Source organism: Homo sapiens, chromosome 11 (genome assembly GCF_000001405.40).
Source record: "Homo sapiens chromosome 11, GRCh38.p14 Primary Assembly".
Taxonomy (NCBI): domain Eukaryota; kingdom Metazoa; phylum Chordata; class Mammalia; order Primates; family Hominidae; genus Homo; species Homo sapiens.
The window spans coordinates 64,803,388-64,814,775 of record NC_000011.10 but is presented as its reverse complement, the minus strand read 5'-3'; the positions used below and the strand labels follow the sequence as shown (position 1 = coordinate 64,814,775).

Genomic DNA, 11,388 nt, shown 5'->3' with positions numbered 1-11,388 from the left:
CTCGTCATCCTACAATGCACAGGACAGCCCCAGTCACAGAATTACCCGACCTCAAGCGTCAACAGTGCCTCCTTCCAGAGCCCCTGTCTAGAAGGTGTTAATGCTAACAAAGCAAACAAACAAACAACAACAACAACAACAAAAAAAACGTAGAGCGGGCTGGCCGCGGTGGCTCATGCCTGTAATCCCAGCACTTAGGGAGGCTGAAGTGGGCGGATCACCTGAGGTCAGGAGTTTGAGACCAGCCTGGCCAACATGGCAAAACCCCATCTCTCCAAAAAAACACAAAAATTAGCCAGGTGTGGTGGCGTGCACCTGAAGTGCACCTGAAGAGGCCGAGGCAGGAGAATTGCTTGAACCTGGGAGGCAGAGGTTGCGGTGAGCCAAGGTCGAGCCACTGCACTCCAGCCTGTGTGACAGGGTGAGACTCCGTTTCAGAAAAACAAAACAAAAAGAAAAAAAATATATAAAGCAGGGTTGAGGGATGGATAGAGGAATTTCGAGTGGAGGGTGTGATTTGAAGTAGAATGGTCAGGTCTGTGTCAGCCTTTTTGAGGTGACGTTTGAGCAATATTGTGAAGGTGGGGAACCCGGTAGACATCTGGAGAGAAGATGGTAACCCACTGGGCTTCCTATTTCACTGAGAAAATCTAATTACCCACCACATATGCCCAGGTAGTAGGCCTTCTTTCCAGTCCTTGCGAATAAACTGCCTGTGCTCCTAGCCAAGGCCAAACCTGCCACTCAAGAATGCATTCCCACTCTCTGTCCAAGGCCATCGCTCCCGCAATTCTCTTATTAACCAGCAATAATCTATTTGACCCCCCTCTTCTCTAGCTATTTAATGCACTCTCATTTTCCTCCTTCCCTTTGCTGCAAAGATCCCAAAAGACTTCTGTATTATCACTGTCTCCAATTTCTTTCCTCCCATTGGTCCTGAGCCCAAGCCTACAAGACTTTTGCTCCCAAAGAGCCTTTTATTTTTTAATTTTTTTTTTTTTATTTGAGACAGAGTCTCGCTCTGTCACCCAGGCTGGAGTGCAGTGGCGCGATCTTGGCTCACTCCAACCTCCACTTCCCGGGTTCAAGCGATTCTCCTGCCTCAGCCTCCTGAATAGCTGGGATTACAGGCACGTGCCACCACACCTGGCTAATTTTTGTATTTTTAGTAGAGACGGGGTTTTGCCATGTTGGCCAGGCTGGTCTCAAACTCCTGACCTCAAGTGATCCGCCCACCTCGGCTTCCCAAAGTGCTGGGATTACAGGCGTGAGCCACCGTGCCCAGTCTGGCTTTTGTTTTTGTTGTTGTTGTTTTTAGGGACAGGATCTCACTGTGTTACTCAGGCTGGAATACAGTGGTGCGATCACAGCTCACTGCAGCCTCGAACTCCTGCCTGAGCTTCCTGAGTAGCTGGGACTACATGGTGCACACCACTGTGCCTGGCTAATTTAAAATAATTTTTTTTTTTTTTTTTTTTTTTTTTTTTGTAGAGGCAGGGTCTTGCTTTGTTGCTCAGGCTGGTCTGGAACTTTTGGCCTCAAGCAGTCTTCCTGCCTTGGCATGTCAAAGCCCTGGGATTACAGGTGTGAGCCACTGAGCTTAGCTTTGACTGTTTTTGAAACACAAAGTGGCTAAAGCCTGTAATGCCACCACTTCTGGAAGGCTGAGGTAGGTAGATCACCTAAGGCCAGGTGTTCAAGACCAGCCTGGCCAACATGGTGAAACCCCATCTCTACTAAAAATACAAAAACTAGCCGTGTGTGGTGGCGGGTGCCTGTAATCCCAGCTACTCGGGAGGCTGAGACAAGAGAATCACTTAAACCTGGGAGGCAGAGGTTGCAGTGAGCCAAGATCGTGCCATTGCTCTCCAGCCTGGGCGACAGAGCGACTCTGTCTCAAAAATAAATAAATAAATAAATAAATTAATTAATTAATTAAATTAAATTAAACTCAAAGTCGCATACTCCCGAGTTGCCTCAGTTCTGGGCCAGCTTGGAAGGCTGGTTACCCTGTTTACTAGTTTTTCTACTGATGTCCTTTTTCTGTTCCAGGATTTGATCCAGAACACCACATTGCATTTAGTTGTTCTGTCTCCTTGGTCTCTCATCTGCAATGATTTGTGGGTCTTTCCTTATCTTTCATGACCTTGGCTCTTTTGATTTCTTTTGTTTTTTGTTTCTGAGGCGGGGTCTCACTGTGTTGCCCACGCTGGAGTGCACTGGCGTGACAGCTCACTGCAGTCTTGACCTCCTGGGCTCACATAATCCTCCTGCCTCAGCCTTCTGAGTAGCTGGGACTACAGGTGAGCACCACCACACCTGGTCAATTTTTTGTTTTTGTAGAGTCCGGGTCTCCCTATGTTGCCCGGGCTGGTCTTGAACTCCTGGCCTCAAGCAATCCTCCTGCTTCAGCTTCCCAAAGTGTTGTAATTACAGGCATGAGCCTGGCATGAACTTGACACTATTGAGATATACTGGTCAGGTATTTTGTGGAATGTCCCTCAACTCTGTTTTGCCAGATGTTTTCTCATGATTAGAGGAGAGTTATAAATTTTGAGGAAAATCCAGAGAGGTGAAGAGGTGAAGTAGGGCAGAAATTTAATCTGTTTTATTTACTGCTATATACCGAGTGTCTGGAACTTGGCCCATGGTAAGTACCAAAAATCTGTTTTTTTTGAATGAATAAGCAAATAAATGAGTGACCGTGGAAATTTAGTATTATTTCAAAGTTTCAAAGCGTTGTTGATACAGGCCAGGCACAGTGGCTCACACCTGTAATCCCAGCACTTTTGGAGGCCGAGGTAGGAGGATCACTTGAGGTCAGGAGTTCGAGACCAGCCTGACCAACATGGTGACACCCCTGTCTCTACTAAGTAAAATACAAAAATTAGCCAAGTGTGGTGGCAGGCACCTGTAATCCCGGCTACTTGGGAAGCTGAGGCAGAAGAATCACTTGAACCTGGGAGGCAGAGGTTGCAGTGAGCCGAGATCACCCCACTGCACTCCAGCCTGAGTGACAGAGCGAGACTCTGTCTCAAAACAAATAAACAAATAACTACTCTTTGGCCGGGTAAGGTGGTTCACGCCTGTAATTTTAGCACTTTGGGAGGCTGAGGCGGGCAGATCACTTGAGGTTAGGGGTTCGAGACCAGTCTGGCCAACATGGTGAAACCCCATCTCTACTTAAAATACAAAAAGTTTTCTGGGTGTGGTGGCGGACGCCTATAATCCCAGCTACTTGGGACTTTTTTTTAAGACGGAATCTCACTCTGTTGCCCAGGCTGGAGTGCAGTGGCAAGATTCTGGCTCACTGAAGCCTCCGCCTCCCAGGTTCAAGGGATTCCCCGCGCCTCAGCCTCCCAAGTAGCTGGGAATCCCTGTCTCTGCAAAAAAAAAAAAAAAAAAAAAAAAAAAAAAAAATATATATATATATATATATATATGTGTGTGTGTGTGTGTGTGTGTGTGTGTTATATGTATATATATTTATGTATATGCACATACACACAAAATTAGGCGGGAGTGGTGGCGCACGCCTGTGATCACAGCTACTCGGGAGGCTGAGGCACGAGAATCGCTTGAGCCCGTGAAGTCGAGGCTGCAGTGAGCCCAGATCGAGCCACTGCATTCCAGCCTGGGCGAAAGAGAAAGACCGTGTCTCAAAACAAACAAACAAAAGCTACTCTTAGCACGTGTTAGAGTATCTCGCGGGCGGAAGTGGGAAACGAGTGCTGCACACAGAGTAGGCATCTTTATATGTTAACAGACACTGATACCCAGCTAAAGCGGCTGAACACATTTACTCTCTGGCAGTGTTTAAAAGTATCTGTTTTTCTCATATTGTTTTATTTTAATTTTTTCTGGATCAAGCAACCTGATCTTTTTCCTCATAACTTGCCGACCGACCCGTGACAGCAAAACCGGCAGAAGCTCGGCGACCTCCCACCCCGAGTCTGCAGGTAGTGCCCCCGGACTACATTTTCCAGAAGGCACTGCGGGCACGCTTCCTGCCTGGTCGGCCTGAAGGGAAGGGCCAATCCCTGAGTATCTCGGGAAGGAGGTGTCCGGAGCCGCGGACCTAGAGATCCCAGAAGCCACAGCGCAGCGGCCCGGCCCGCCACTATTTCCAGGCTCAGCGGGGCAGGGGTGGGCCCAGACTCCACTTCCCGGCGGGTAGTGCGACCCTAGGGGCGGGACTTCATGTCCCAGCAGGCTCCGGGCGGCGTGCGCCGCGGTGCCTAGTGTGGGATGTAAGCGCGGAGGTGGGCGAGGGGGACCGAGGCCAGGACTCTCCTTGGGGTTTGGGGGCTTGACCTGGGTGCGCTTTCTGGACAGACTTTACAGCCCCGGGGGCACAGTCGTAGAGAGGGGGCGGGGCGGCCATTGGGGCTCCTCATTGGGGTGCTTGGGGCGCACCCCATCGGGTACCGGGCGTCCCGGAATTGTGGGGGACAAAAAGGCTCTGCAGTCTCGGCTGAGGGGTCTCACCGACAAAAGAGGGGAAGCCGGTGAGCAGAGGCTGAAGAGGGTGGGGAAGCAGGGGAGCTGTGCGTGTGTCGGGGCGGGTGGAACCTTAGCGGACCCTGGGAGGAGGCTCCCCGGCCGAACCTGCCCGACCCTCCCTCCCCCGGCTTGCCTTGCAGGCCGCCGCCCACCGCCCGCCGCCATGGGGCTGAAGGCCGCCCAGAAGACGCTGTTCCCGCTGCGCTCCATCGACGACGTGGTGCGCCTGTTTGCTGCCGAGCTGGGCCGAGAGGAGCCGGACCTGGTGCTCCTTTCCTTGGTGCTGGGCTTCGTGGAGCATTTTCTGGCTGTCAACCGCGTCATCCCTACCAACGTTCCCGAGCTCACCTTCCAGCCCAGCCCCGCCCCCGACCCGCCTGGCGGCCTCACCTACTTTCCCGTGGCCGACCTGTCTATCATCGCCGCCCTCTATGCCCGCTTCACCGCCCAGATCCGAGGCGCCGTCGACCTGTCCCTCTATCCTCGAGAAGGGGGTGTCTCCAGCCGTGAGCTGGTGAAGAAGGTCTCCGATGTCATATGGAACAGCCTCAGCCGCTCCTACTTCAAGGATCGGGCCCACATCCAGTCCCTCTTCAGCTTCATCACAGGTTGGAGCCCAGTAGGTGGGAATCTTATCCATGACCCACTTCTTCAAAACCCTCCATGGTTTACAGAACCCTTTTAAGAACTGTAAGCCTTGTGAGGTTCGGCAGGTGTTATTTTCCTCTTTGCAGTTGGGAAACTGAAGCCCAGAGAGGGGAAATGATATGCCAAAGTCACACACGGCATGGCAGGGCTGGAAGTGAAGCCTGATCACTTGGCTCCAAATCATCAACCTCACCTCTGCCCCCTCAGCACCCCCACCCTTGCCACTGAACAGCTACAGGAGTTCTAAGCATGAGACACAGAGGGCGGCAGCAGATTTAGGGGGCAAGAAGATGAAATTGGGCTGCATTTGAGGCAGTTAAACAAAATAATGGCTATGAAGATTTTTTTTTTTTTTTTTTTTGAGACAGGGTCTCACTCTGTCCCCCAGGCTGGAGTGCAGTGGTGTGATCATGGCTCACTGCAGCCTCAGTCTCCCTGGGCTCAGAGATCCTCCAACCTCAGCCTCCTGAGTAGCTGAGAGTACAGGCATGCACCGTGGTGCTGGTTAATTTTTTGTATTTTTTTTGTAGAGATGGTGTCTCACTATGTGGCCCAGACTGGTCTTGAACTCTTGGGCTCAAGTGATCTGCCCGCCTCAGTCTCCCAAATGCTGGGATTACAGGTGTGAGCCACCGCAACTGGTGGCCTATGAAAATTTTTTTTTTTTTTTCAGACGGCGTCTCACTCTGTCGCCCAGGCTGGAGTGCAGTGGTGCAATCTCGGCTCACTGCAAGCTCTGCCTCCTGCTTTCATGCCATTCTCCTGCCTCCTGCCTCAGCCTCCTGAGTAGCTGGGACTACAGGAGCCTGCCACCATGCCTGGCTAATTTTTTTTTGGATTTTTAGTAGAGACGAGGTTTCACCATGTTAGCCAGGATGGTCTCGATCTCCTGACCTCGTGATCCGCCCGCCTTGGCCTCCCAAAGTGCTGGGATTACAGGCGTGAGCCACCGCACCTGGTCAAAAATGTTTGAGACAGAGAAGGGGCTTGACCTCAAAAGGCTTAAGAGTCAGGGCTTGCAAAGAGCTTTGCACCAAGCCCGGTTGACTGGCAATCCCATCCTGGTGTGCCATATTGAGAAGGAATCAGAGGCTGCTTCTCAGCTTAGCAGGAAAAGAGTGCAGAGATAAATGAGGGTTATTTGTTGGTGGGTGTATAGCCAGAGAGTGTTGGCCAGCGTCCTGTTTTTGCCATTCCTGTTTTAACCTAGTAAGTGCAGTAAAATGGAATCCCTAAATCCATAGAATATATAATAGAGTTGCAGAGAAAGACGAGGTAGGGCCAAAGGCTGGGTCAGCTACAGGATATCCAGAAAGGTATCTTGTTGGACATAGAGGGTGTAAACAGGGAGAGAGTCTTTGAACACGTGGGAGGGAAGGGATGGAGGGATAGTGGGCAGGAGAATCTGAGGTTGGGTCACAGGCTTGGAAAGGGAGTGGGAGGGAGTGTGGCCCATCACTACCTGGCCCCCTTTCCCCATGTTAAAGCACAGAGGACCCTCTTTCATTACCTCCCCCTTCCACAGGCACCAAATTGGACAGCTCCGGTGTGGCCTTTGCTGTGGTTGGGGCCTGCCAGGCCCTGGGTCTCCGGGATGTCCACCTCGCCCTGTCTGAGGATCATGCCTGGGTAGTGTTTGGGCCCAATGGGGAGCAGACAGCTGAGGTCACCTGGCACGGCAAGGGCAACGAGGACCGCAGGGGCCAGACAGTCAATGCCGGTGTGGCTGAGCGGGTATTGTTCCCTCCCCCCAGCCTTGTCCCCTTCATACTGTAGTAGCCCAAGCCACCCAAGGGACTCCATTTTCTTGGGCCACACCCCTTTCTTCCCATCACCACCCACATAGGAAGGGAAGACAGAAGAGCCCCTTTTCCTGGCTGTCATTCCCTGAAGCAGGCACAGGGTGGGCCATCATGAGACATAATGATCTCATCCCCCCCTAAGAGCTGGCTGTACCTGAAAGGATCATACATGCGCTGTGACCGCAAGATGGAGGTGGCGTTCATGGTGTGTGCCATCAACCCTTCCATTGACCTGCACACCGACTCGCTGGAGCTTCTGCAGCTGCAGCAGGTGAGGGCTGAGCCAATGGGGCAGGACTGGGCTAGGCCAGACTTGACTTGCTGTGGGACCCTGGGCAGGGGCACTTTCCCTTCCTGAGCTTCAGCTTCCCCTCCTGGAAAAATGGGTTAGTAATTCCTGGCCTGGCCTTTCCCAGGGCTCTTGGGAGAGTAGAATTGAGATGTGAAATTGCTTTGACTCCATTAAAGGGCTGGTCCCAGAATTTTGGCCCTTCCACATGGTGGGTGGTCCCTGTTGGTTCTGACCCCCACCTCTGCCCGATAGGCTAAGGACCCGTTCTCCTCCCTGTTCCGTGGCTCATAACTCTCTCCTTCGGCTCCTAGAAGCTGCTCTGGCTGCTCTATGACCTGGGACATCTGGAAAGGTCAGTAGAGGGAAGTGGCCAGGCTGCGCCTGGTGAGGCCGGGGGGCTGGGTGGCAGCCTGAATTATGATCCTTTCCTAGGTACCCCATGGCCTTAGGGAACCTGGCAGATCTAGAGGAGCTGGAGCCCACCCCTGGCCGGCCAGACCCACTCACCCTCTACCACAAGGTGGGGGCATCTAAGGAGGGTGCAGAAGGGAGACCCTAACAGTGGCTGAGGCAGGGGCCCTCATCTGGGCAGATGAGAAGAGAACTTTGTGTGTTGGGGGGTATCGCCCATCCAGTCTCACTTTGTGTCAACTGTGTGCAGAATCAGTTCAGTCAGGGCTGTCTGAGGGGTGTCCAGGGTTCCCCAGCCTGGGAGTGGCAGGGGCTGCATTTGTCCCCTCAGCCCTGCCTTTTCTGCCACTGCTTACTGTCCTTCCTGGAGTATAACAGAGGTCAAATGTGGCAGGAGCACTGATGAAGAGGGGGTGTTCACTTGGTGGGTGTAGGTGGGGAGGAGGGCCATTGGGCTGGGCTTGAAAGTCTTTGGTGATGTGTAGAAGAGTGTCTGAGAAAGAGAAGGGCCCTGAGCTCGGAGGGCAGGCCCCACCCCTGCAGTCTGCCCCAGGCCTCAGCCAGCAGTCCTGTAGACCCAGGGAGGAGACCAGGTAGAAGGGCTGGCAGCGAGTGGAGGTGGGAGTGGAGATGGAGAGGACTCCCTGGGATCTTCCTGTGGCCCCTTCTGGGTGTGCCCTGGTGGGGCATTTGTGCCAGCAGGGCAGCTGGGGCTGCCTCCCTGAGGATCCTCTGCCTCACCTCCATCCAGGGCATTGCCTCAGCCAAGACCTACTATCGGGATGAACACATCTACCCCTACATGTACCTGGCTGGCTACCACTGTCGCAACCGCAATGTGCGGGAAGCCCTGCAGGCCTGGGCGGACACGGCCACTGTCATCCAGGAGTGAGGATCCCCCTACTAGGGCCTGCAGCCTGTCCTTTCTTCCCCTCCATCAGTTTCCAACCACCCTCGTCCAGGACTGAGGCCTGGCTCCCACGCCCCATCCCCTTTCCATCCAGTCCCTAGGCAGCAAGGCCACCATTACCCAGGAGGTAGGGACCCTGATTAAGGTGTCACATCTTTCCCTCCCTCCCCTCTCCTCCTAATTTTTTTTTTCTCAGAACAGTCTCAAATCTCCAATGTTTAACCACCATCATCCAGCAGTGGGACTTCCACCCTCGGCCCCATGCCCCCCTCCTCATTCTTGCTTTCTTCCTCTGGGCTGACCCAGACAGCATCATTTTGCAGTGAGGACCCCACCTACTCCCCCAGCCCCTGGGGGCTCCATCCCCCGCCAGGTCCCTGGGGCTACCCCCGATGGTGAGACCCCTTCAGACCCTACAGAGACCCCACTGCTCTCACAGCTACAACTACTGCCGGGAAGACGAGGAGATCTACAAGGAGTTCTTTGAAGTAGCCAATGATGTCATCCCCAACCTGCTGAAGGAGGCAGCCAGCTTGCTGGAGGCGGGCGAGGAGCGGCCGGGGGAGCAAAGCCAGGTGAAAGGCTGGAGCTCCAGCCTGTGTCCAGCCTCCCACCTGGACAGGGCTCCCTTCCACAGGCCATGGGGGCTGCATGTACGGGATTAGGGATGGCAGGAGGAAGGTGGCCCTGAGCAGACAGCTATGTTCCCTTTTGCTATAACTGAGGTCCTGGGCCCACGTTGGACGGGACTGAAGGTATTTTAGAGGTTTCTACCCTGTGCCTTCAGTTTCATGGCCAGACTCCCTCCCTCAGCTGAGGGGTGGAGGTAGGGATGGTACGTCCTGGCTATGGATTGGCTTTATAAAAGGAAAGAGGTTCTAAGAATGTTCCCAACCTATGCTTACCTTTTCTGGAGCCAGGGGTCTTTGCCTAGGTGGGGGGCCTGGCCTGTGCCCTCTGCTAAGGGGTGAGTAAGAGACTGATCTGTGCCCTCCCTTCCCCCTCGTCCAGGGCACCCAGAGCCAAGGTTCCGCCCTCCAGGACCCTGAGTGCTTCGCCCACCTGCTGCGATTCTACGACGGCATCTGCAAATGGGAGGAGGGCAGTCCCACGCCTGTGCTGCATGTGGGCTGGGCCACCTTTCTTGTGCAGTCCCTAGGCCGTTTTGAGGGACAGGTGAGGGACAGCTGCACAGAGGTCTGGGCACTACAGGTGGTGACAGCAGCCACGGGCTTGTCAGACTTTTCTGGCCCAGGGGCAGCATCTGCCCATCCCCTTGGGTGCCGATGGGACTGAGACCCCCTGGGTGGGATGGGATGGCCAGAGCAGGGTCCTGGAGTTCCAGCCACTGGCCGGCAACCTTGCTCTCACCTTGCTCTCCCCACTGGCCCAGGTGCGGCAGAAGGTGCGCATAGTGAGCCGAGAGGCCGAGGCGGCCGAGGCCGAGGAGCCGTGGGGCGAGGAAGCCCGGGAAGGCCGGCGGCGGGGCCCACGGCGGGAGTCCAAGCCAGAGGAGCCCCCGCCGCCCAAGAAGCCAGCACTGGACAAGGGCCTGGGCACCGGCCAGGGTGCAGTGTCAGGACCCCCCCGGAAGCCTCCTGGGACTGTCGCTGGCACAGCCCGAGGCCCTGAAGGTGGCAGCACGGCTCAGGTGCCAGCACCCACAGCATCACCACCGCCGGAGGGTCCAGTGCTCACTTTCCAGAGTGAGAAGATGAAGGGCATGAAGGAGCTGCTGGTGGCCACCAAGATCAACTCGAGCGCCATCAAGCTGCAACTCACGGCACAGTCGCAAGTGCAGATGAAGAAGCAGAAAGTGTCCACCCCTAGTGACTACACTCTGTCTTTCCTCAAGCGGCAGCGCAAAGGCCTCTGAACTACTGGGGACTTCGGACCGCTTGTGGGGACCCAGGCTCCGCCCTTAGTCCCCCAACTCTGAGCCCATGTTCTGCCCCCAGCCCAAAGGGGACAGGCCTCACCTCTACCCAAACCCTAGGTTCCCGGTCCCGAGTACAGTCTGTATCAAACCCACGATTTTCTCCAGCTCAGAACCCAGGGCTCTGCCCCAGTCGTTAGAATATAGGTCTCTTCTCCCAGAATCCCAGCCGGCCAATGGAAACCTCACGCTGGGTCCTAATTACCAGTCTTTAAAGGCCCAGCCCCTAGAAACCCAAGCTCCTCCTCGGAACCGCTCACCTAGAGCCAGACCAACGTTACTCAGGGCTCCTCCCAGCTTGTAGGAGCTGAGGTTTCACCCTTAACCCAAGGAGCACAGGTCCCACCTCCAGCCCGGGAGCCTAGGACCACTCAGCCCCTAGGAGTATATTTCCGCACTTCAGAATTCCATATCTTGCGAATCCAAGCTCCCTGCCCCAAATAACTTCAGTCCTGCTCCAGAATTTGGAAATCCTAGTTTCCTCTCCTTCGTATCCCGAGTCTGGGACACAAAACTCCGCCCCCAGCCTATGAGCATCCTGAGCCCCGCCCTCTTCCTGACGAAACTGGCCCCGGATCAGAGCAGGACCTCCCTTCCGACCCTCTGGGAACCTCCCAGAGGTCCAGCCCATCTCGGAGCATCCCGGAGGAAATCTGCAGAGGGTTAGGAGTGGGTGACAAGAGCCTGATCTCTTCCTGTTTTGTACATAGATTTATTTTTCAGTTCCAAGAAAGATGAATACATTTTGTTAAAAAAAATATAAAGCGCAAGTCCATGTTTATCTGGGAAATTGGGGATGGGGCGGGGAGTGGAGCGCCCCCTCTTCCCTCTGTCTTCTGGCTCCCGGGACTTTGCGCTCCCTACCTGTGGAGCGCGAGCGACAGTG

At 54.5% G+C, this 11,388-nt stretch overlaps 1 protein-coding gene across 31 annotated transcripts; it reads left to right on the top strand.

Annotated features, from left to right (window-relative positions):
* On the top strand, positions 3,482-11,260 carry MEN1 (menin 1). 31 transcript variants are annotated; one of them, NM_130804.3, is made up of 11 exons: positions 3,482-3,742; positions 3,871-3,962; positions 4,644-5,126; positions 6,677-6,885; positions 7,096-7,224; positions 7,557-7,597; positions 7,678-7,765; positions 8,408-8,544; positions 9,006-9,141; positions 9,578-9,742; positions 9,960-11,260. In NM_130804.3, the coding sequence occupies exons 3-11, from the start codon at positions 4,667-4,669 to the stop codon at positions 10,440-10,442; spliced, it is 1,848 nt and encodes a 615-aa protein (NP_570716.2). In that variant the 5' UTR covers positions 3,482-3,742; positions 3,871-3,962; positions 4,644-4,666; the 3' UTR covers positions 10,443-11,260. The 31 variants fall into 31 exon arrangements, 27 of the variants coding, with proteins under 27 accessions (NP_570716.2, NP_570715.2, NP_001394073.1 ...); NM_001407144.1 differs by lacking the exons at positions 3,482-3,742; positions 3,871-3,962 and adding exons at positions 4,090-4,146; positions 8,763-8,888 and having other exon boundaries at positions 4,644-5,111; XM_017017768.2 differs by lacking the exons at positions 3,482-3,742; positions 3,871-3,962 and adding exons at positions 4,090-4,146; positions 8,763-8,888.